This window comes from Homo sapiens, chromosome 4 (genome assembly GCF_000001405.40).
Source record: "Homo sapiens chromosome 4, GRCh38.p14 Primary Assembly".
Taxonomy (NCBI): domain Eukaryota; kingdom Metazoa; phylum Chordata; class Mammalia; order Primates; family Hominidae; genus Homo; species Homo sapiens.
The window spans coordinates 61,965,927-61,988,943 of NC_000004.12; the positions used below are offsets into that span (position 1 = coordinate 61,965,927).

Genomic DNA, 23,017 nt, shown 5'->3' on the forward strand with positions numbered 1-23,017 from the left:
ATGGAACTTTTAAGATGTTAATTGTTTTTTGAATTTTATATTATCTCACATTATTGTCACTAAGCCTGTGGGATAATTGTCTCTAGAATATCTGGAAGATCCGCATTCTGCTTAAAATGCAATACATTTATTCATGAGAATGTAAAAAAGATAGTCTAATAAATATTCTTTTTTTCTGAAATTGCTATAGCTAAGAAAATCAAATGAAAATGAAATAAAAATGACATGGGTGTGCGTATGTGCACATGTACATATTTATATTTATACTTATATTGTTTTGTTCAGTACCTGGCACATAATAGGTACCCAATAAATATTCTTAGAATGAATCTACCAAAATTTTATTGAATATTTCTTGCCTCATGCAGTGTCTATTATATGGTTTTTATAATCTAGATATAAAAAATTACCTTCTCCTTTAATTCTAATTCTGTTCCTCTATGATTCAAAATTTTCTTTCTCACTGTGGTGAATTTCTCTTTTCATCCAAGCCAAAGGTAATGACTCTGTAAGAATGATAAAGTGATAAAAATATACATATCTGGGTAACTCATATCTGGTATTTCTATGATTACTTTTCCTTACTCTTCAGCTGTTCTACCCTACTCCACATCACCCAACACCTTTAAGAAGTACTTTCAAAAGGGGTGTGTGTGTGTGTGTGTGTGTGTGTGTGTGTGAATGAAAACAAACAGGAGAAGTTATCCATTTTATCAGAGAATAAGAAAATTTAGAGCTAGAAATGAGCCCAGAAAACTCTGTTTCAATGAGATCTCTGGGTTTAATCATTGTATTCAAAGGATAGTCAAGACATTTTTACCCATGAAAGCATTGCTCTGTCCTGTTCTAAGGGGCTTAGTATACAGATGCTCCTCAGTCTATGACTGGGTTATGTCCTCATACACCTATTGTAAAGTCAAAAAATCATCAGTCAAACTACTGTAAATCTGGGGCCACCTATATTTGGTCACAGAAGGAAATATAGGCAAGCATTTGTGGACCTTCCCACTGTTAATGAAGTTGCTAAAAACTTGCAATATTTAGCTACCAGTTAGGGTGACCAAGTTTTTAGAGAGCCAATGGGAAATAGCACTGCAAGACCAAAAATATGCTTAGTACACCATAAATATTCATATATGTGTTATTACTATTTAACAATGAAAATTAATAGTACTTTAATGCTAGTTAATAGTAGGGCCAATAGTGTGAAAAAATGTATTAATTTTTTTAATTTTTCTTTCTGTCTTCTGATCCAGACATTTGTTTTCATGCTTTTTAAGTCTTCACTGGATATTTAAATTTTTAGGCTATATTATTGTGCATTTTTAAGTAAATATAAGAATTTTTTTAAAAGGTAGATACAATGTAGTAATTAAACATATATTACCTTTATTTAATAAAATAACTATGGCATGTTTATATTTGCCTTTCATTTCTTTTCTTTTTAATAGAGGTAAAAATGAATACAGTCAAAAGTAAAATTTACTTTGACTCACAATCCTGCCCCCATTAAGTCCATATTACATTAATTACTTGTGTCAGTCCAATGTGATAACATAAAGCCAAATATCCTCTCAACAAAAAGGTTTGAGCATGGAATGCTTTTGATTTTACTGTGTAGCTTTACTAAATAGCTTTTTAGACTTGTAGGAATTCCCAGCTCTGCAAAAATACCCATCCACTTTTTATGTACATGCTTATTTTGGTAGACCAGCTGCCTTTCAATCAAGTCCTTTGCATCTATGAATTCATTCTATATGTTGTCTATGTCCAAAATGTCCATCATTTTTAAACACTTACAAGTACATTGGATGTCAACATAAATTAAAACACTATCAGGATTAATAGTTGTAAAGCACATAGTTTTACCTTCTGAAATTGTGCTGTTTCAGTCTACTTTGTGTTGCTATCACAGAATGTCACAGACTGGTTAATTTATAAAAAACAGAGATTTATTTCTTACAGTTCTAGAGGCTAGGAAGTCCAAGAGCACACCACCAGAATCTGGCAAGGATACTTTTGTCAGAAGGCAGAGGGCAAGAGAATAAGGGTGCTAAAGAGGGCAAGAGAGGAAGAGAAGGCCGAACTTGCCCACTCCCATGATAACAATATTAATCCATTCATTAGGGCAGAGCCCTCATAACCTAATCACCTCTTAAAGTTCCTACTTATCAACACAGTTGCATTGAGGATTAAGTTTCCAACTTAAGAACTTTGGGGGTCATATTCAAACCACAGCAGATTCTAAACAAGTTACAGCTTTTAGTAAATACGTGAGAAATTCCTGTTTAACTTGACTGCCCTTTTCTGGTGACATTTTTTGAAAGCAGTCTTAAATTCTAAAAATGAGTCGTTTTTTCACTCTATGGCTTTTTGTCCTAAACTACACAGAACTTCAAACAACTCAAGTAGAGTCAGTTCACCTTTTTCTAGGTTTCTTACATCTTCTTTAGAGAACATTGAACAGTTTTAGAGAAACATCATTTACATTTCTGTCTCATGGAAATCTTTTTCTTTGTTCTCATCTGTCATATATTTAAAAATCAAAGAGAAACATTCCTTTTGCTCCATGCTTTGAAAATATAATTTTACAGAAGGCCAATATTTTAACATATTTTTATGGCCAGCCACAATGATAGGCATCTTGTCAGCATATGTCTCAAAGCACATATCTTCTCCCATTTCCAGAAAGTCAAAAGGCCCATTAAGTGCTTCTGCACATTCTGGGGAAACTGAAAAGTGACCAAAAAATTTCATTATAAAACCGCAATATCATAGCAAAGAAAACCACTTACCTTTCTATTAATATTGTGTAAAGATGTACAGGACATTTAATAGGTAAGAACTGTTCATTTTCTCTTATAAGACATTTATAGGCTGAATGGAATTTTCCAACATTTACATTTGCACAGTCTGTCAAATATGCAGATAGATGAGTACAGTCTACTTTAAATTTGGACAAGATGCTACATCTTTTATGTCATCTGAAGTTTCATTAAAATCTTTACAGAAATCAAGGAGATGATTTGAAACTCCATTTTAGAATTCAAAATACCGAAGAGCTAGAGGGAACATGGTTTTGCTGGCATGATTCAACGTATCATTTGATATATTGTAGCACCATGATCATTAATAAGACCTGACAAAATCAGCTCTACACTCTAAGCGGTCAGCATATTGGTCCTCAAAATTTCCTCTCTTGTTTACCCTCAGGACTTTTTAGTTGCAACCTTTGAATCAGAAAAAAGTAACTGTACTCAGGTGTGTTGAGCAATCAAGGGAACAAAATGATAATGAATGTTTATTCTTATTGTATATTCAAGCTAATTTAACAACTGCCATTTTCAAAAGAGCGTTGATTTTTTTGGGGGGTGGGAGGAGATAAAAAATGGTTTTGATTGACTTACAAAAACTTGCCTGTCTCATCCTAAACTTGTGAGATGTAGGCTCCACAATTGTATTCATATGACCTTCTGTCTAGTCTCAAATTTATTTCTATTTATTGTAGACTACTCTGTTTTGATTTTCTCCCTAATCTAGATCCATGGATCGTTCTATGTATTTTTAAAGTAACACAGTTGTTTAGCCTTTTTTTTTCAGTATTGTCATGTTAGCTTTGGTATTATAGTCATACTCATTTGCATCACTGAACTGTAAGAAAACATGGTCACAATATTCACAATATAAAAATTAAAGTAGCACAATCTTCATACAAATCAATACAGTTAATTCACAGGCAAGATCAAAGAGGAGCTCAGGGTCACAATGCATGTGGGTTAAATACTCAAGTCACAGAATCTAGAGTAATGCAACAGTGGATGAACTGGTGTTAGGATCACAGATCTTGACTACCAACATCAGTAGTCAGGAGAAAACTTGCAGGAGCCATTAAGAAAAATGGACAATTGATGCTTCATCCATTCAACACTAAAAATACTGTGGCATGCAGCCTCCATTTTCTACGTGGTCCTGTGGATTTTGTACATTTCTTTTAACCTTCTGCATCCATCTCTGAAATCTGAGGCTTTTTATGTCTTGGAGAAGGGTTTTCCAGAAAGCAAAAATTTACTGCTAAAACTAAGACAGTAGTGAGCAAACCTGGGCAGTTGGTTGCCCTATTATTAATTCTATCTCTACTGCATACTAGTAGAATGATTGTGGATAAATTCTGTATACTCTTTGCTTCAGTTTCTTCATCTGTAAGTTGGAGATAATAATAGTATCACATCACAGTGTTTTATAGAATTAAAATGAGTACCTTAAGAAAATAAATAAGCTCTTCTAATAGAATCAGACATTTTGAAAATTATGTGTTGGTTATTACTGCTATCATCATTAGTCACTTTATTTAACTCAGAAATGCTAAGGATAAAATTTTCTATCTGCCTAGCTTCATTTCCTACCTTCATTCTCATCCCAGACACTCTTAAATTATTTTCTTTCTATTGATTGATCATTCCTTTTCCTTTAACAATTTCTGCTGTTTTCTTTCATTCGTTATGGTAGTTGCAAATCTGGTACAACAAATGTAGTTTTGTTTAGTTTGGCTTTTTTTTCTTAATTCAAAGCAAGAAGATCGCCAATAACTTAGAGTGTGCTAAGCATAATAAGTATGCTTCTGAAGCCAGAAATTTTGCTAAATAAGTTCCATTGAATTCAAAGGACAATTGTATATGAATGTTGTATGCTCTTAAGAGCACACACTTGCTAGTGTTTCTCTTTTACCAGTTAAAGCATGAAAATATTTAGATTGGTTTTTCAATTTGATACAAACTTGAATGTTGTTGGTAGGTTGCTTCAGTTAATTTGCCCTAAAAAGAAGTAAGAAATATAATAATATTGTCCTTCTTACTGGGTTACCCAACTATGACAGGTTCTGCAAAGGAAATCCTAATTTCTTCAGACCATTAATCCTTTCACTTTCCCAAGAGCTTGTGAGGTGACCTCTGTGTCTGATGACCTGGTTCTCAAGAGTTAGATCAATGCCAGGAATTTTTTTCACAGAGTTCATGCCACGTTTATCCGAAAATAGGCTTTTTGGAATCCTGCTGGCTTCAGTTTAATTTATGATTCAAATCAATGTTTTATGCTCATGGATATGTTAGTAGTAAGGTAAACACTCATACATTTTCAGTAAAAGAAGAAACTCAGCTATATTACAAATATTTCAGAATACAATATGTTGAAGAGGCAATTTAATTTTTTAAATTTTTTTATTTATTTTTATTTATTTATTTATTATTATTATACTTTAAGTTTTAGGGTACATGTGCACAATGTGCAGGTTAGTTACATATGTATACATGTGCCATGCTGGTGTGCTGCACCCATTAACTCGTCATTTAGCATTAGGTATATCTCCTAATGCTATCCCTCCCCGCTCCCACCACCCCACAACAGTCCCCAGAGTGTGATGTTCCCCTTCCTGTGTCCATGTGTTCTCATTGTTCAATTCCCATCTATGAGTGAGAACATGTGGTGTTTGGTTTTTTGTCCTTGCAGTAGTTTACTGAGAATGATGATTTCCAATTTCATCCATGTCCCTACAAAGGACATGAACTCATCATTTTTTATGGCTGCATAGTATTCCATGGTATATATGTGCCACATTTTCTTAATCCAGTCTATCATTGTTGGACATTTGGGTTGGTTCCAAGTCTTTGCTATTGTGAATAGTGCTGCAGTAAACATACATGTGCATGTGTCTTTATAGCAGCATGATTTATAGTCCTTTGGGTATATACCCAGTAATGGGATGGCTGTGTCAAATGGTATTTCTAGTTCTAGATCCCTGAGGAATTGCCACACTGACTTCCACAATGGTTGAACTAGTTTACAGTCCCACCAACAGTGTAAAATGTTCCTATTTCTCCACATCCTCTCCAGCACCTGTTGTTTCCTGACTTTTTAATGATCGCCATTCTAATTGGTGTGAGATGGTATCTCATTGTGGTTTTGATTTGCATTTATCTGATGGCCAGTGATGGTGAGCATTTTTTCATGTGTCTTTTGGCTGCACAAATGTCTTCTTTTGAGAAGTATCTGTTCATATCCTTTGCCCACTTTTTGATGGGGTTGTTTGTTTTTTTCTTGTAAATTTGTTTGAGTTCATTGTAGATTCTGGATATTAGCCCTTTGTCAGATGAGTAGGTTGTGAAAATTTTCTCCCATTTTGTAGGTTGCCTGTTCACTCTGATGATAGTTTCTTTTGCTGTGCAGAAGCTCTTTAGTTTAATTAGATCCCATTTGTCAGTTTTGGCTTTTGTTGCCATTGCTTTTGGTGTTTTAGACATGAAGTCCTTGCCCATATCTATGTCCTGAATGGTAATGCCTAGGTTTTCTTCTAGGGTTTTTATGGTTTTAGGTCTAAAGTTTAAGTCTTTAATCCTTCTTGAATTAATTTTTGTATAAGGTGTAAGGAAGGGATCCAGTTTCAGCTTTCTACATATGGCTAGCCAGTTTTCCCAGCACCATTTATTAAATAGGGAATCCTTTCCCCATTGCTTGTTTTTGTCAGGTTTGTCAGAGATCAGATAGTTGTAGATATGCGGTGTTATTTCTGAGGGCTCTGTTCTGTTCCATTGATCTAAATCTCTGTTTTGGTAGCTGTACCATGCTGTTTTGGTTACTGTAGCCTTGTAGTATAGTTTGAAGTCAGGTAGCGTGATGCCTCCAGCTTTGTTCTTTTGGCTTAGGATTGACTTCACGATTCAGGCTCTTTTTTGGTTCCATATGAACTTTAAAGTAGTTTTTTCCAATTCTGTGAAGAAAGTCATTGGTAGCTTGATGGGGATGGCATTGAATCTATAAATTACCTTGGGCAGTATGGCCATTTTCACAATATTGATTCTTCCTACCCATGAGCATGGAATGTTCTTCCATTTGTTTGTATCGAAGAGGCAATTTTAAACTCATATTATTCTCCTTTACTAAATCCAGCTCAACATTAAAATAATGCATTATTGTGCAAAAAGTAAAACAGGTTCTTGATAATTATTGGCAAGCAGTTGATAATTATTACAGGGTGATTGTTCAAGCAGTCTGAAAAATACAACTCTCTAAAATTATTTTTTTCAAAAAAGAAGAAAAAAAACCTATCCAGAAGCATTCACAATTAATTTGTATAGTTTGTATCCCATCTGGAAACACTTCCATAGTTAAAATGAAAACTATTTTAAGATCTGTCTCTCTATCTCGTTTGCTGACTTGCTTTTTTGACAATAAAGTTAGAAATATCAACAGTTTCACATAAAGTCTTAGTGTACTTTATGTGATTATTATTTTTTTTAAATCATAAGGCAAAAGTCACATTTCCCTGTTCCAGAAATTTGGACTTAGTATCATTGAGTGTACCTCATGGTATATTTGAGGGTTTTACATGGACAGAGTCACTTTCACAAGTGACATTCATTGTGTAAGCCGTCCTTTCCTCCCATCACTCCACTTTCGAGGTATGTGAGTGCTCAGTGACAAAGACAAAGCAGATTACCTAAGACAAAAATGAAAGGAAAATCAGAAGCTTCATGTAAGTTTTACAAATATTTTACAAAATATTTGGCCTTTCAAATATATGAATAGAAATTTCATAGAAAGCCTGAAAAACAATTATTGTTTGTATAAAAATTTCTTTCTAGAGATGATAGATTCATTCAATTTTCTGAAACTATCTTCTGAGGAATAATTCTGTCATTCTCCTCTGATTTTTCTCTCACATCTCCTTATCTTCCTTTAAGAAGCTAATTTCCTTGAAGTCTTTGATATTTTGTTTATTTTTTTTTAATGAGTTTTCCAAGAGTTCCTTTCAAAAATTAACACTAGTCTATGGTACAGACCCTGACAAAATTTTTTAGTGTCATCTTTGTTTGCTACGTTATTTGTCTTTTTGTTCTAACTTAAGGAAAAGTATACAAATGAATTAGTATTTTTCTTGTTTTATCATTTAAAAGTCATAAGTGCAATTGTACGGTAATCAAGATGCAATTCAGATTCAAAAGTTAAAATCTGCTGTCTTCATCTGCTTTCTTCGGATGCTTTGGACATTTTTTGTTTTGTTTTCTCCCAGACAAGGTCTGGGTCTGTCACCCAGGTTGGAGTGCAGTGGCGTGGTCTCGGCTCACTGCAACCTCCACCTCCCGGGCTCAAGCCATCCTGCCACCTCAGCTTCCTGAGTAGCTGTGACTACAGGCACCCTCCACCCTGTCCAGCTAATTTTGGTATTTCTTGTAGAGATGGAGTTTCAGCATGTTGCCCAGGCTAGTCTTGAATTCCTGGACTCAAAGCAGTCCACCTGCCTCGGCCTCCCAAAGCGCTGGGATTATAGGAATGAGCCACCATTCCTGGCCACTATAGGCATTTTTATAGCCTTAATTTATAAGTACCACAAATATTTAATAATAACTAAGCTGGAAATGTTATAAAGTGAAATTAGATAACTCATACTTGATTGGAATATTTTTTGGTGTTCTTAGTTAAAATAACATTAGCATTTATTATTGTTATGGTTATTTTTCTGATCCTCTCTATATCATTTATATAGGCTTTTTATTAAACGAAAATTGCTATTGAGCATGAAAAAATTCAGAATACATTCAGATTTAAAAAAGTAAAGAAATATTCACTTTCTTGCTTTCACATATATTATGTGAATTACTTATCACAATATCCTGAAGCCTCAGTTATTTTACTGCTTTGTGGATAAGGCTTCTGATACTTGAAGAGATTAAGTACTTTGTTAAAAGTAACAATGACTAAATTGAAGTGACAAGATTAAATTCAAGGCTTTAGACTCCAAGAATTAATTACTCAAGATTCCTCTTATTTACATCTGTACTTTTGTCTTCATTTTTATACTCGTTTGACACGCTGACATTACAGGACATCTTAAGGTATTATGATGTAACAACCTTCTTATTTTCTAGCTCTAATTTTCTTTATCTTTTACTCAACATTTTAGAGCTGATGATTTAAGAGGAAGAGTCCCAAGGACTGTTTAGTGGGCAGCATGATACAACTTGTAGTTTGAATCAAAATCCATTGTAGAAGAGAGAGATGATTAAAGAGAGGTCATTTATTCAATCAGTGCATTAATTGTGCAGCTACTGTATATTACATATTTCTCCAGGAGCTGGAGGATTGGTAATCAGAAGAGATGAAACAACTTATTCTCTTAGAGCTTTCTTTCAGTTAGGGAGGGCACAGAAAATAAGTAGAAAAAATATTAAAATATATAGTTTAAGTAAGTGATAAGGAGTAAGGGGAAAATAATGCAAGGAAAGCAATAGAGAGAGTCAGAATACGGAAAAGGGGTCTGTATTTTTAGATACGATGACTCAGAAAAAACCCTCTGTGAGAAGGTGACATTTGAATAAATAATAAAAGGAGTGTGGCAAGTAAGCCACGCAGATATCTTTTGGAAGAGTATTCCAGTCCAAAGGAGCATCAGATGCAAAGACCATGGGCTGGAATATCTCTCAACCATTCAAAGAACAGAGCAGGTCAATGGAAGTGGAATGAACTGAGGCACTGAAGGAAGGGAAAAATAGGAAATGATGTCACAGGGGTGCAGTTCTTAGGGCTATCTAAGGCTTTTGTAAAGACTTAGTTTTATTTTCATTGAGTGGGAGCCATTGGAGGCTTTGATTAGAGGAGCAATGTCGTGTGACTTATATATAAAAAGAATCTCTCTGCTCTGCTAAATATAGAGAGAAGTGGGATTAGGGCCAATGTAGGGAGATCAGTTAAGAGGCTCTTCATAAGAAATCAGATGGCTCCAATCAAGTTGGTGCAGTTGAGATGATAAGAACCTGTCAGGCTTAGAGGGTAAGACCTATAAGATTTCCTGATGGATTAAATGTAGTGCGTGAAGGAAATAGAGGAGTCAATATAACTCCTGAGTTTTTGGCCAGAACATTTTCAAGAATGAAGTTGCTGTTTGCTAAAATGAGGAAAACAGAAGGAAGAGCAGATTGGAAGCAGGAGGGCAGAATAGGATAAGATCAGGAGCTGTTTTGGGCATATAATATTTGATATCTTATCAAATATCCAAGTGGAGATTAAATGGGTGCTTAAGCTGTACTGACATGAGAGGGTCCAGCTCTAAAGCATTTAGCCTAATAGAAGTGGGAATATAATCATTCAAAACCAAATATTTTTTATAGATTTTTTAAATGTCAAACACAGTACTAGGTGCTAGGATGTAATATTAATAAAATTGATATAATCCCTGCTCTCAAGGTACATAATGGTATATAGTTTGTTTTATAGGTGATTGAGTTATATAGTGTTCACAAACATGCAATCTCAGAAATAGGAATCCTTGTGCCATTATCACATTGGTACAACTATACCTAGGAGTTTAATTCAACTGGTCTTCCTCTTGAAAGGAGTTTGCTTTTTTCTATGCACAGACCGCCTTCCTAGAAGTTCTATTATGGCAGACTATTAATTATAAACAAGGCTTTTCATATTTACATCTGTTATTTACATTCAATGTCCACTTGATATGGTTTGGCTGTGTCCTAATCCAAGTATCACCTTGAATTGCAATAATCAAGTGATAAGGAGTAAGGGGAAAATAATGCAAGAAAAGCAATAGAGAGAGTGAGAATACAGAAAAGGGGTCTGTAATTTTAGATAGGATGACTCAGAAAAAACCCTCTGTGAGAAGGTGACATTTGATAATTGAATAATGGGAGCGGTTCCCCCATACTGTTCTCATGGTAGTGATTAAGTCTCATGAGATCTGATGGTTTTATAAATGGGAGTTCCCCTGCACAAATTCTCTCTTGCCTGCTGCCTTGTAAGACGTGTCTTGCTCCCCCTTCGCCTTCTGCCATGATTGTGAAGCCTGCAAGTGGAACTGTGAGTCCATTAAACTGCTCTTCTTTATAAATTACCCAGTCTTGGGTATGTCTTTATCAGCAGCATGAGAATGGACTAATGCACCATTGTTCTTTCCCATTCATGTTACTGGTAAAATTCAAGTATTGAGTTGTATTTGATGAGTGCTGCCCTCCCAGTGTCATGGACATATAGGTGGTTGGTGTTGATGTTTTCCTGCTAAACAGTCATACTTAAAAGGTGAATTATTTACTAGGATTTTTTGTTCTATGTTTGAGAGTTACAAATTTTTGCTACTGACATTTCAAGATCTGATATTCTTCTCTTAGTAACTCTGCATGGAGTTTTTGAAGAGCCTACTAAGGCACTGAGTAAAACAAATACATTTCTAATAATGCACCTACACAGATAAAAGTGGGAGTTCTTTGGTTTCTTTTCTTTTTTTCTTGTTCTTTTTTTTTTTTTTAAAGGTGTTTCAGGTCTTTTGGATACATTTGAGATGGTGTTATACCTGCCATTTTTCCATTATGAAAGACTGCTGTGCTAAACGTTGGTGCTTGATTCTCAATCGCAGCATCTTTCCTTTGAGTCAAAGAAGAGAGCAAATAGCCCTCTATTCAGGGAACCAGGTAGCACTAACCACCCTCCACTCTCAAACACTAAAAGTAATTTAAGCTGTCGCAGACCCAACACTGCTTTGGTAGCATCCCCCGGAGAACAAAGCAGTTAAAGCAAAATTTCATGTGGTTTTCTTTCATGACTTGAGCTCCTTCTGAGAAATATATCAAGAGTTATGCAGGAATATTTCAAAACTGCTTCATTGACAGTATTCTAGTGGAGGTCTTCATCAAATAACAACTGTGAAGTCGTATCTGGCAGTATGAGGAGTGTTATGATTCAGATTACAGCATGGTGGCTTACTTCTAAGAATTTCCACATCCAGAAAAATCTTTGAAAGGATGAAGTTAAAAAAATGAAGAAAACCTGGATATGTGTTTTTTAAATGTCTGCCTTTAAAAATCAATTTTTTTTCAATATTTATTTTAGATTCATGGGGTACATGGGCAGGTTTGTTACATAGGTGTATTGTGTGATGCTGAAGTTTGGGGTATGAATGATCCCATTACCCAGGTATTGAGTGAGCATAGTGCCCAATAGGTTTTCTACCATTGCCCCCTCCCTCCCTACCACCTCTGGTAGTCCCAAGTTTCTATCGTGGCCATCTTTATGTCCATGAATACTCAGTGTTTAGCTCCTGATTATAAGTGAGAACATGCAGTATTTGGAAAACGTGAATATTTATATAGGTTAAAATTGGGCTTAGTGTGGAAGCCAACTAAATGTGGCAACTTCCATCCTAAAACAAAAGTCAGTGTGTATGATCTATATAGTTGAAAAAAGTATCAATTAGAAAGACAACTCCTTCTTGTCAACTCAAAATTTTCCCATGTACATGTTTATACTTTTACCAATTTTGCATACATCCATAAAAATCAATGTCATTGATTTTCATCTTTTAAAATTTTGCAAAAATGCTGTCATAGTGTGTAGATCCTTTTGATGCTTGCTTTTTAAAAAAAAAATATTAGATTTTTGTGTATTATCCATGTTTGTGACTTTAAATATAGTACACTGATTTTCTACTATTCTTTAAAATATCATTGTAGGAATTAACCTTTTACCCATTCATTTATCTATTCTGCTACTGATAGAAGTTAGGTATTTATGGCTCTTCAAAAAACCTTGAAGGAAAAGAATTGACAGTCATAAACAATTTCTCAACTTTGCTCCGACATCTTGATCTACTTATTTGTTGGGCCTCTGTAAATTCTAAAGATTCACAGAAGTTTTTTTAGTGTAGGGACAAAATATCTTAAGGTGGAAATAAGAGTTCTGAATCTTAGAACAAGGACAGAAATGAAGTAATTGACAACCAAGGAACATGGCAGACGTGGAGCTTCCTGGACTATTTTAACAGAACCAAAACATGATGTTTCAGTACAGTTCGTGAACTTTTTCTTGTTTCTTAGCTCTACTGTCTTCTATATGCTGCTGTTTAATACAGCAATTCTGAATATTTATTTTCTGTCAATGTATAACAGGCTCTATTCATGCAAAACCTTTCAAAGATCAAACTTGCTGATGTCTTTAAGCTATTCAATATGAATATAAATCCAATGAATATCCTAATTCTTTTAGATCTTCCCCAAAATAAATAGTGCACATGTGTGGCTATTCATCAGAATTCACTGGGGATCTTTATGAAAATACATACTTATATGACACAACCTTGGAAATTATGATACAAGATTTAGAGGACAAAGGAATTGCATTTTTAATTTTAAAACTCCTTAGATGATTCAAAAATTAGTTGAGATACAACTTCCCCAAGTGTAAAGCTTAAAATTGTAAATAGTATTCCCTACTGGAGATGGTCTGAAAATTAGTCTAAAAAAGTGATATAAATTTAAAAAATAAAATGTTTTAACCTTGAAATCTTTGGCCAGAATTAAGTCGGTCTGCTTTAACTACTTATATTCTGAAAATGCTTGTAGCTAAGAAAGAAGCAAACGCTATTGGCGTCTCTGAATATCAAACTGATTCACACCTCACGGAAAAGACAAAATGCTTTATCTGTGGAAGAGAAAACCCAAATCATTAAGTTACTTTATTCATTGTGGGTATAGAGGGTATTTTGTGCATTATTACTATCATGCTTTGTGCATCCAGGCCCTTATAAAACTTTGTAATTGGTTATGCATAAGCGCAACTTATGGCTTTTTCATTGTGTTTCCAGCACAGTGATGCGGTCCATGACCTCCTTCTGGATGTGATCACGTGGGTTGGAATTTTGCTGTCCCTTGTTTGTCTCCTGATTTGCATCTTCACATTTTGCTTTTTCCGGGGGCTCCAGAGTGACCGTAACACCATCCACAAGAACCTCTGCATCAGTCTCTTTGTAGCAGAGCTGCTCTTCCTGATTGGGATCAACCGAACTGACCAACCAGTAAGCAACCTACATTGATACCAGTGAAGAATTTTTCCACTTCCAGCTTTTCAGTAGCGCCAATACTAAAAATACTTATGTTTGAAAGTATCATTTCTTCTAGTCATCTAAGATAGATACTAATTTTCAGGCCTTACTCAGTTTTCCATTTTTCATATCCCATTGTCATAAATAAGCAGCAAACTTTATGAATAAGGTGTATATTTCATTTTTAAATAGACTTTTGTTTTTTAGAGCAGTTACTGCTTTACAGCAAAATTAAGCAGGAGCTACAGACATTCCCATCTATTCCCTGCTCCCACACATGCATAGTGTCCTTCATTTTCAACATCCTCCACCAGAGAGGTACACTTGTGACAACTGATGAACCTGCATCAACACATCATTATCATCCAAATCCCATAGTTTACATTAGATTTCACTCTAGGGATTGTACATTCTCTGGGTTTGAGTATAATTTTTTCACTGCCTTGAAAATCATCTGTGCTTCCTCTGTTTATCCCCCCTTTCCCACTAACCTCTGGTAACCACTAATTTTTTTTTTTTTTTTTTTTTTTTTTACTATCTCCATGGTTTTGGCTTTTCAGAATGTCACATAATTAGAATCATTTAGTAAGTAGCTTTTCCAGATTGGCATCTCTCTGTCTCTTTCTTTCTTTCTTTGTTTTTCTTTCTTTTCTTTTTTGAGAAAAGGTCTCACTCTGTCATTCACGCAGGAGTGCAATGGCATGATCCTGGCCCACTGCAATCTCCACCTCCCAAGCTCAAGCGATCCTCCCACCACAGCCTCTGGAGTAGCTGGGACTACAGGCATTTGCCACCAAGCCCAGCTAATTTTTTGTATTTTTAGTAGAGACAAGGTTTCGCCATGTTGTTCAGGCTGATCTCAAAATCCTGGATTCAATCGATCCACCCGCCTCAGCCTCCCAAAGTGCTGGGATTACAGGTGTGAGGCACCATGCCTGGCCAAGGCTTCTCTTAAATGGTCATATATATTTGAATTTCCTCCATGCCTTTTTTGACTTGATAGCTTATTTCTTTTTAGTGCTAAATAATATCCCGTTGTCTGATGTACCACAGTTTATCTACTCACCTACTGAAGGACATCTTGGTTGCTTCCAAGATGTCATCTGTGCTTTTGTCAATTATGAAGAAAGCTGCTATAACCATATGTGTGCAGGTTTTTGTGTGGACATATGTTTTTAACTCCTTTGGGTAAAACCAGGGAGCACAATTTGTGGATCACATGGTAAGAGTATATTTAGCTTTAAAGAAACTGACAAATTGTCTTCCAAAGTGGCTGTACCATTTTGTGTTCCCATTAACAATAAAGGAGATGTACATTTCTTCGGAAATTATTTCATAAACTTGTCTTTCTAAGGAACTACATATTGTCATTATTTTTTTCTTTTGTTTTAACCATAGGGCTCAATATTGAGGAAACTTTGGTAAAATTATTTAGAAAATGAAAGAATATCTTTTTTTTCCAATTAATAGAATAATGCTTTAAAGTTTGTAATATGCCTTAAAAACAGCCAATATTATATTAAAATCTGCAGGTCTAAAATGGGTTTTTCTAATTGATGTATTTTGGAAAATAGTACAACCTGCAAAGCATTTTTATTATATGTAAACTCTTCCCAAATTTATTTGGCACTTTATATTTGCATGAGTTCTGGTCATGTCTTTAATTGCCAGCCTTGTACGTTATTGCAACCTACATTTAGTCATATCAAGGAAAGGAGGAAGAAAAAAAGGGAAAGAAAAGAAAAAAAAAAGAACAGCACTAGCCAACTGTTGGTAAAACCAAACAGAAAATATAAATAATAGACAATATCTTCATATATTACACAAACTTTATGCCCACTTATAATTTTTGTGAGCCAGTTTCAGTTTACTTAAGATTTATGCACATGTTACAAGTTTGTTATCATGAGTAAAATTGCAAAATAGCAGAAAAGTTTCATTTTGTAGAAGGCTTTTGAGCATAATAAATAGTTCGCTTACTTAATGCTGTTTTCTGGTATGTGTCCATATGTATGGAGTGCTTTACAATAAAAATGCAGTTGGATTCATGTTTGTGATTACACATTCATGATTAATGACTGTAAAGGGTACAATTATGGTGATTATATTTTTAATTGGGCATCATATACTAATGTGACAGCTTTCCCCATAAATGCATACCTATGAATAAGCAATCAAAGTACACATTTCTTTCCCCAAAAAAGTAAAGCCTTATGATAACAAAAATTAATAGTTGACGTTCTAACTCTAAAAAGCAAGAAATGGAAAATTGTGTTATTTTCCAAGAATGTATCATTTTATTCTCTTGTTAGCTTGCAATTCAAATGCTGTGTGATTTCTTTTCATTTAGAGACCTTATTCTTATTTTTGTTTCCTGATGTTATATATGGTATGAAAAACTTCGCCAAATATTGCATACTACACAAAACTCATTTCTAACAAGTAATATAAAGAACAATGATTGATATGAAAAACATGGGTAGAGTGCAGCTCAGCAAAACTTGTCTTTACTCTCCTTGCTAGCGAGGTATCCTTTTCTGCACTCCACATAGTGTTTAGGACCAGCTTTCTTTCTAGCTCCTCAGATGTAAGACTTGCTGATCTCTCCTTCATTGTCATCTTTGTGACCCAAAATTTGACCTGCCCTTTTGTCTCATTTCATAAGGATCATACTCATCAATGAATTTCTGTTACTCTGATAACTTCGGTAAGTTTGTTGACCTTTTCTAGTAGCAGTTATAGATTTTAGTCAGGGTTTCCTATAAGGAAGAATAACTCAAAGAAATGAGAATTAAGGAACTGACATAAGAGTAAGAAATTGATAGTTGGTCAGCTGAAAATTGTAGTACTTTAGAAAATATACAAAAATAAGAGCTGGCTGCCTTTTCTGACCAAGCTTGTCTAAACCAATATTTAGTACAATAACAAAAAATCAGAGAAAGAAAGCAGTTTGGGAACATTTAATTTTAAGCAGATCCATTTTTATTCATGTTCACCATGAATTTTCCAACACCACCTTAAATCATTTTTGAAACAAGGCAGGGTAGAAATAAACAAACAATTACTAATAATTAATTTCATCATGAAACAATTAGTAATAATCTCATCATGAAAAGACTGCAATTAACTACACTAATTTTCCCCTTAGTTTTAATGTTTCTCTTTCACTGACTATTGAAGAACTTACTATGTTAGTATGTTCTAACTCTAACTCTGACTCTAACTCTAACTCATGATTATGGCCAAGAGAAAAAATTCTTAAAATCTATTTTAAAATATTTACGCTAATATCAGAAATAATTATTCATAGGCTCTTATTAGAATTTTTTCTAAGTATTATTTTTTTTATTCTAATGATACACTGTCATCTATAAGCCATTATTAATGTTAAAGGCAGTTTTCAAAGATAGATTATATTTAAGTATATTAGTTTTAATATCTGTGTTTTAAGAATCTTCCCTAGGTTATTATTTTGCAGATCTATTGTAATGCAGTTTTGGTAAATATTTAATTTGGTTTTATGGCAGTTGACTAGTATCCCATGTGGTAGAGATTTGACTAAATCATTTGTTCCTTTTCCTAGATTGCCTGTGCTGTTTTCGCTGCCCTGTTACATTTCTTCTTCTTGGCTGCCTTCACCTGGATGTTCCTGGAGGGGGTGCAGCTTTATATCATGCTGGTGGAGGTTTTTGAGAGTGAACATTCACGTAGGAAATACTTTTATCTGGTCGGCTATGGGATGCCTGCACTCATTGTGGCTGTGTCAGCTGCAGTAGACTACAGGAGTTATGGAACAGATAAAGTGTAAGTTTATTGTTTTCTTTCTTTTTAAATCTAGGTGAAATAAAAGTGTTGGACTTTCTTGGAAGCAAAGGTCTTTATATTACCTCACAGTGAAGAAACTGGGCAGCAAATGTGTATAATTCAATCCATGGTTATACTTTGGTTATGATGTAAAAAGAAAAAAATACCTTGAGACTTATCATGATGCTGTTTTAAAACAGCGTAATTTTTCTACATCTACATCATAACCTTGTGTAATTATGAAGAGATCATAATTTTATTTTTCTTCAGAACATTAAGACATTAGTCAAAGGAAGAACTAGCTGTATGAAGAGCTATTTGCTAGCATAGGATGGTGCAGTCCCTGACATTGCTGGCTTATCTTCTTCCTGCCAAGTCCGTTCAAGTCACTGGAAAGCCTTTTATGTCATCAACAGAAAGAGTATAGGAGCAGGGACAGCCTGTGTTTTTCCCCTTTTTTCCTGGGTAGGCATTGAGGTAGAGTGATGAATTTTGCTTTCAACATAGCTTTAAACTGTTAAGACATATGTGTCGAGATGTGAAGCATATTAGCATGGAGTTCAGATAAAAATATGTTTGCAATCTACATACATGTAACAGTTGAGATACCCAGAGTAAATCAAAGTTTTATGAGAAGAGATTAGAAAGTAAACCAAGATAGACCTCTGATGAATAATCATATTTAGAACTAGACCCAGGACTAAAAAATACAAGTAGAGAAAAAGAAGAGGTAAGCAGAGGCTTAGAAAGATTACCATGAGGTTTAGATTCAAGGCAAGGGAGAAGAAAGTCTCAAGATGGTGTTTCAAAACACCATCAGTGGCCAGACACAGTGGTGCATGTCTATAAAGCTACTTAGAATGCTGAGGCAGGGGAATCGCCTGAGCCCAGCCTTTGAGATTACAGTGAGCTGTGATCATGCCACCTTACTCCAGCCTGGATGACAGAGTGAGAACTCATCTCTAAGAAGCAAAACAAAACTAAAACAAAAAACCACCATCAGTGGTGTTTTATGTCAAAATTAATTTAAGTAAAAAACAAAAACAAACAAAAGAAACCATTTGACCTCTGCAACAAGTCTGTTTTTTTAAGAGGCCCCCAGAGGTCGCTATGTTGCCTGGGCTGCTGGAACTTCTGGGCTCAAGTGATCCACCTGCCTCAGCCTCCCAAGTAGTGCAACAGCCATTTTTGCAAAGTACTAGAAGCAGAAATCAAATTGGAAGGCGTGAAGACATAAGTTAGTAGTAAGAGCGTTATTTACACCTGGAAGTAAGTTGATTGAAAAATAGTGAAAATATTAACTTACGTGATAATCATGAAGCAAAATTTTAAAGATGAAGTCTTAAGCATATCTAGGGTGAGAAGAATCAAATTAATAGGAGGAGATTCATAGAGAGAAAATTCCTTATAGTATATATGGGCCAAATGAAAGGGAAAAGTCTTGGGAGGTAGAAAGACACAAGACTAAACACAAGATTGGAAAATCTTGATTTATTACTAAAAGTGGTTTTAGAATTTGCAAAGTCCATGGCACTAATTTTACAGGTGAGAAAATAAAATACTAGATAAATTAATTGCATTGCCTGTGGTTATAGAGTTAGCTGGTAGCAGATTTGAGATAAACCAAGTCAGGTTATTTCAAATAAACTAGGATTTTTTTTTTTTGAAATTGTAAAATGACCTCACTTTTTTGAGGTGAGTGTGAAGAAAAGGACAGGCAAGGTACATTTTGAAGCAGAGGAACTTTTCCTTCAAGTAAAAGATGCTGATTTCTATTGAGTGAATAGGTGAGGTCATGTCAAGAGAACAGATTTGAAAAGCTTTGAAATGAACACTATGGAAAATGTGCTAAGGAGCCAATTAGACATTAATAAAAAGATTTTCAAGCAGCAGTGTAGGCTCAGATGAGGTTAGATAACTTCAATTTGTACAGAAGTTAATAAGCCAAATTTCATGACTTTCCACCGGCAATCAGCAGTCTGAACATGTTGGCAATAAAAGAGCTTGCTTCTCAGAAGTGAGGATTCATAAAAAGGGAACGACAAGAAGAGGACGCCAGAATTATTGGGAGCATAGTTAAAACAGCATATGTGAACTATGCTATTTTAAGCACCAACAATACAATTAAAAGAAGACTTATTCCCGTTGAGTCCTTTGTCTTGAGTATAGTGACAGGCTATATAAAACCATTTGTCTAAATATGCCAATAACTATTATTTTTTAATCTCAACTTTGTGAATTGTAATCAAGTCTGTGATTTTTCTGTTGATTCCAGTGACATCTGTGAAACAGACTAGGATTAGTAAAAAAAAAAAACAAAAAAACACGTTATCTGAGGTTGTCCCTAAAGATGTCTTAGGGGAGGGGTGTTAGGTTGATATAGGTTTGTTTTTTTTTTTAAATAACATCTTTGATATATTCATGTAACATAAAATTCAGTCTTTAAAGCATACACTTCAGTTGTTTTTAGGATGTTTGTGGTATTATGTACTCATCACTATTGTCTAATTTTAGAATATTTTCATCGAAACAAAAAAGAAACCCCTAGCAGTCATTTCACCTAGATCATGGGACTTTACATTTTTCTCAATGCATTTTCTACCACAAAATTGAGTAATATAGTTATTTGTGACCTTATGCTATTTCAAATATTGTTGCTAAGTAGCTCCATTTTGCTCTCTTGAAGTTCCAAATTACATTTTTCTTTTACATCAATTTTTTTCTCCTTATTTGGAAATTGTCCTGTTACTACTGAACTCATTCAATTTGTTTTGTTTGTGTTTTAGTCATTTACTTTGAGACAGATGTCATTTTTTGGATAGTAGAAATCTATCTTTTCTTAGAATCAATAATATGTAGCCTCTTGTGGCTTTGTTAAAGCTTTGGCCATCATTGCTTTAATTTCCTGCACCGTAACTGGAAGCTCTCATTTACTGACATTATTGCTGTGTGAGACTAGGGGCTAATTTATTTCCCAGACACTGATTTAAAACAAGCCTTAATAATAGTTCAGTTTTGCAATTATCACTTTTTCCAACACAAAGAGAAGCAAAACAGATACAAAGAAAAGGGAGGGTAGATGGAAGAGAGATAGGAAAAGATAGGGAAAATTTCATTATTTCAATTATATCACAGGGGGGCATAACACATGTTAGTGTCTTGGGGTACATTGTAAATAAATTGTCCACACAGAAGCCTTCAGAATACATGTAAAAAATGTTTAACTTCTACTTTTTCGGAATTCATGCAATCCAACATCTATACAGTGCTGTTTTCCCACTGAAGAAGCAGATATTGAAAAGAGAACCAGTACTGAGCCATGGTGTTTACTTGAGAAGTTGAAGTGAACAGATTGTTTCCATCAGGGCTTAATCAAGACATCACAGTGAAAATATGAGCCATTAATTTTTACACTCAAAGAATTTCTGTATATAGAATTATATGTCTTGTTTCCTATCGTCGAGACTCTTTGTTCCAGTTTCTCTTGCTGTTGTATATTGCTTTTATTTTATTTTATTTTATTTTATTTTATTTTATTTTATTTTATTTATTTTATTTTATTTTATTTTATTTATTTTTGAGATGGAGTTTCACTCTTGTTGCCCAGGCTGGAGTGCAATGGCACGATCTTGGCTCACCACAACCCCTGCCACCCGGGTTCAAGCGATTCTCCTGACTCAGCCTCCCGAGCAGCCGAGTAGCTGGGATTACAGGCATGCACCACCACGCCCGTCTAATTTTGTATTTTTTTAGTAGAGATGGGGTTTCTCAGTGTTTTTCAGGCTGGTCTCGAACTCCCAACCTCAGGTGATCTGCCAGCCTTGTCCTGCCAAAGTGCTGGGATTACAGGTGTGAGCCACCATGCCCAGCCTGCTTTTATTTTATTTAATATGGCATTTCCCACTCCCTGCTCACCACGTGCATCTTTTTTTCACACATCTCTGCTGTCTCAAGTTTGTTTGTTTGCAGTGTTACCTCCCTATGTACTACACTGATTCTTTAAATATGAAAATGTATAGTCCACAGCCTATAATAAAGTGTAGTTAGCCAGAAATCAGAGATATATTGTCAACTATTTTCTTTAAATTATTATTAAGCTCAATACAGTAAAATTGTATGTCTTGGAAATCTTTTTTACTTGTTTTTGGAACTTCATGATTCTTAAGTTTTTATTCTTCAGTCTTGCCCACTTACAGTACATCTAGAATAAAACCATTGAATATCTATTACAATAATTCAGATAATAGACATGTCTCCCTTTTCTCTCCTATTAATGTATTTGTTTATTATACTGACAATGAGGTTTTATTTCTGAAATCTTTAATATAATAATAATACCTTACATTTCTAAAATTTAGAGAATTATATTAATGGTACGAGATAAAATTAGAGATAAAATTGTTTCGTAGGTTAAATAAATGCTATTTTGACAGATATGGAGATAAATATCATATTCCATCTGGCTGATGGATTTTGATGTTTTTCTATGAAATGTTGTTAGGGCTATTGAATTTATTATTATGTATAAAACACATACACACAAAGCATACAAATTTGATTCTGAGAAGTTGCTTAGTTTGCCATCAATTTGCAGTGCTTGTAAGGAGCCATTATTTGTTTAACAAAACCTTTTTATCTGTACTGACATTATATTCAAGAATGTACTTAGAACTAACATTTGGTTAAAATAATTAGTTATTTAAAAAATCCATTTTAAAAAACAATAATCTTAAAAAAAACTCTGCTAGTAGACCACAGGTATAAATTGCGCTGTTAATAATGGACATTTATTTTCATTTATCTCTTTCTTATATCTTTTTATGTCTCTCATACTGTTATTCATATGGATATTCAGTGGGATGCCATCAATGTGATACTGTCAGAAGATAATTATAGCAAAGGCTGTCATTGACTTAATAGTAATTCAATCAGGAAACATTTGGAAATTCAGTGCTAAATACTTTGGTTTTATGACCTGAAACTAATCACTTCATTTAAACTTTAATTATTCCAATATTACCAAAACATGCAAACTGTTTGAACAGTAAATTTTTACTTTTAAAAAAATCACATTGATAGTTTATAGCATTTTCGACTCAGTCTCATGTATGAAAAAGCAGTGGATTGGAAGAAGGAATTAGAAGTGGGTACCAGGAAAAGGGAGAGAGCACACTGGGAAGGGGTAAAGCCCAGAGAATTGTCTAGGAGAGAAAATCTGGGCTAAAAAATTGATGAATAGTTTCTAAATATGTGGATGAAGTCATGAACATTTATAATTGATAAGAACATTCTTGAGTCCTAGAAGAATAGCCAAGCTGTTAAAAATAATTGAAATCAAAT

At 34.4% G+C, this 23,017-nt stretch overlaps 1 protein-coding gene across 59 annotated transcripts in view; it reads left to right on the forward strand.

Annotated features, from left to right (window-relative positions):
- ADGRL3 (adhesion G protein-coupled receptor L3) overlaps positions 1-23,017 on the forward strand; it is an 878,010-nt gene that overhangs the window by 765,601 nt on the left and 89,392 nt on the right. For 58 of the 59 annotated variants that reach the window (NM_001387552.1, NM_001322402.3, NM_001387522.1 and 55 more), the window contains 2 exons: positions 13,637-13,846; positions 17,457-17,677. In NM_001387552.1, the coding sequence (NP_001374481.1) occupies positions 13,637-13,846; positions 17,457-17,677 (431 nt within the window). The remainder of the gene's footprint in view (positions 1-13,636; positions 13,847-17,456; positions 17,678-23,017) is intronic. The other variant, NM_001387542.1, reaches the window with a different exon arrangement.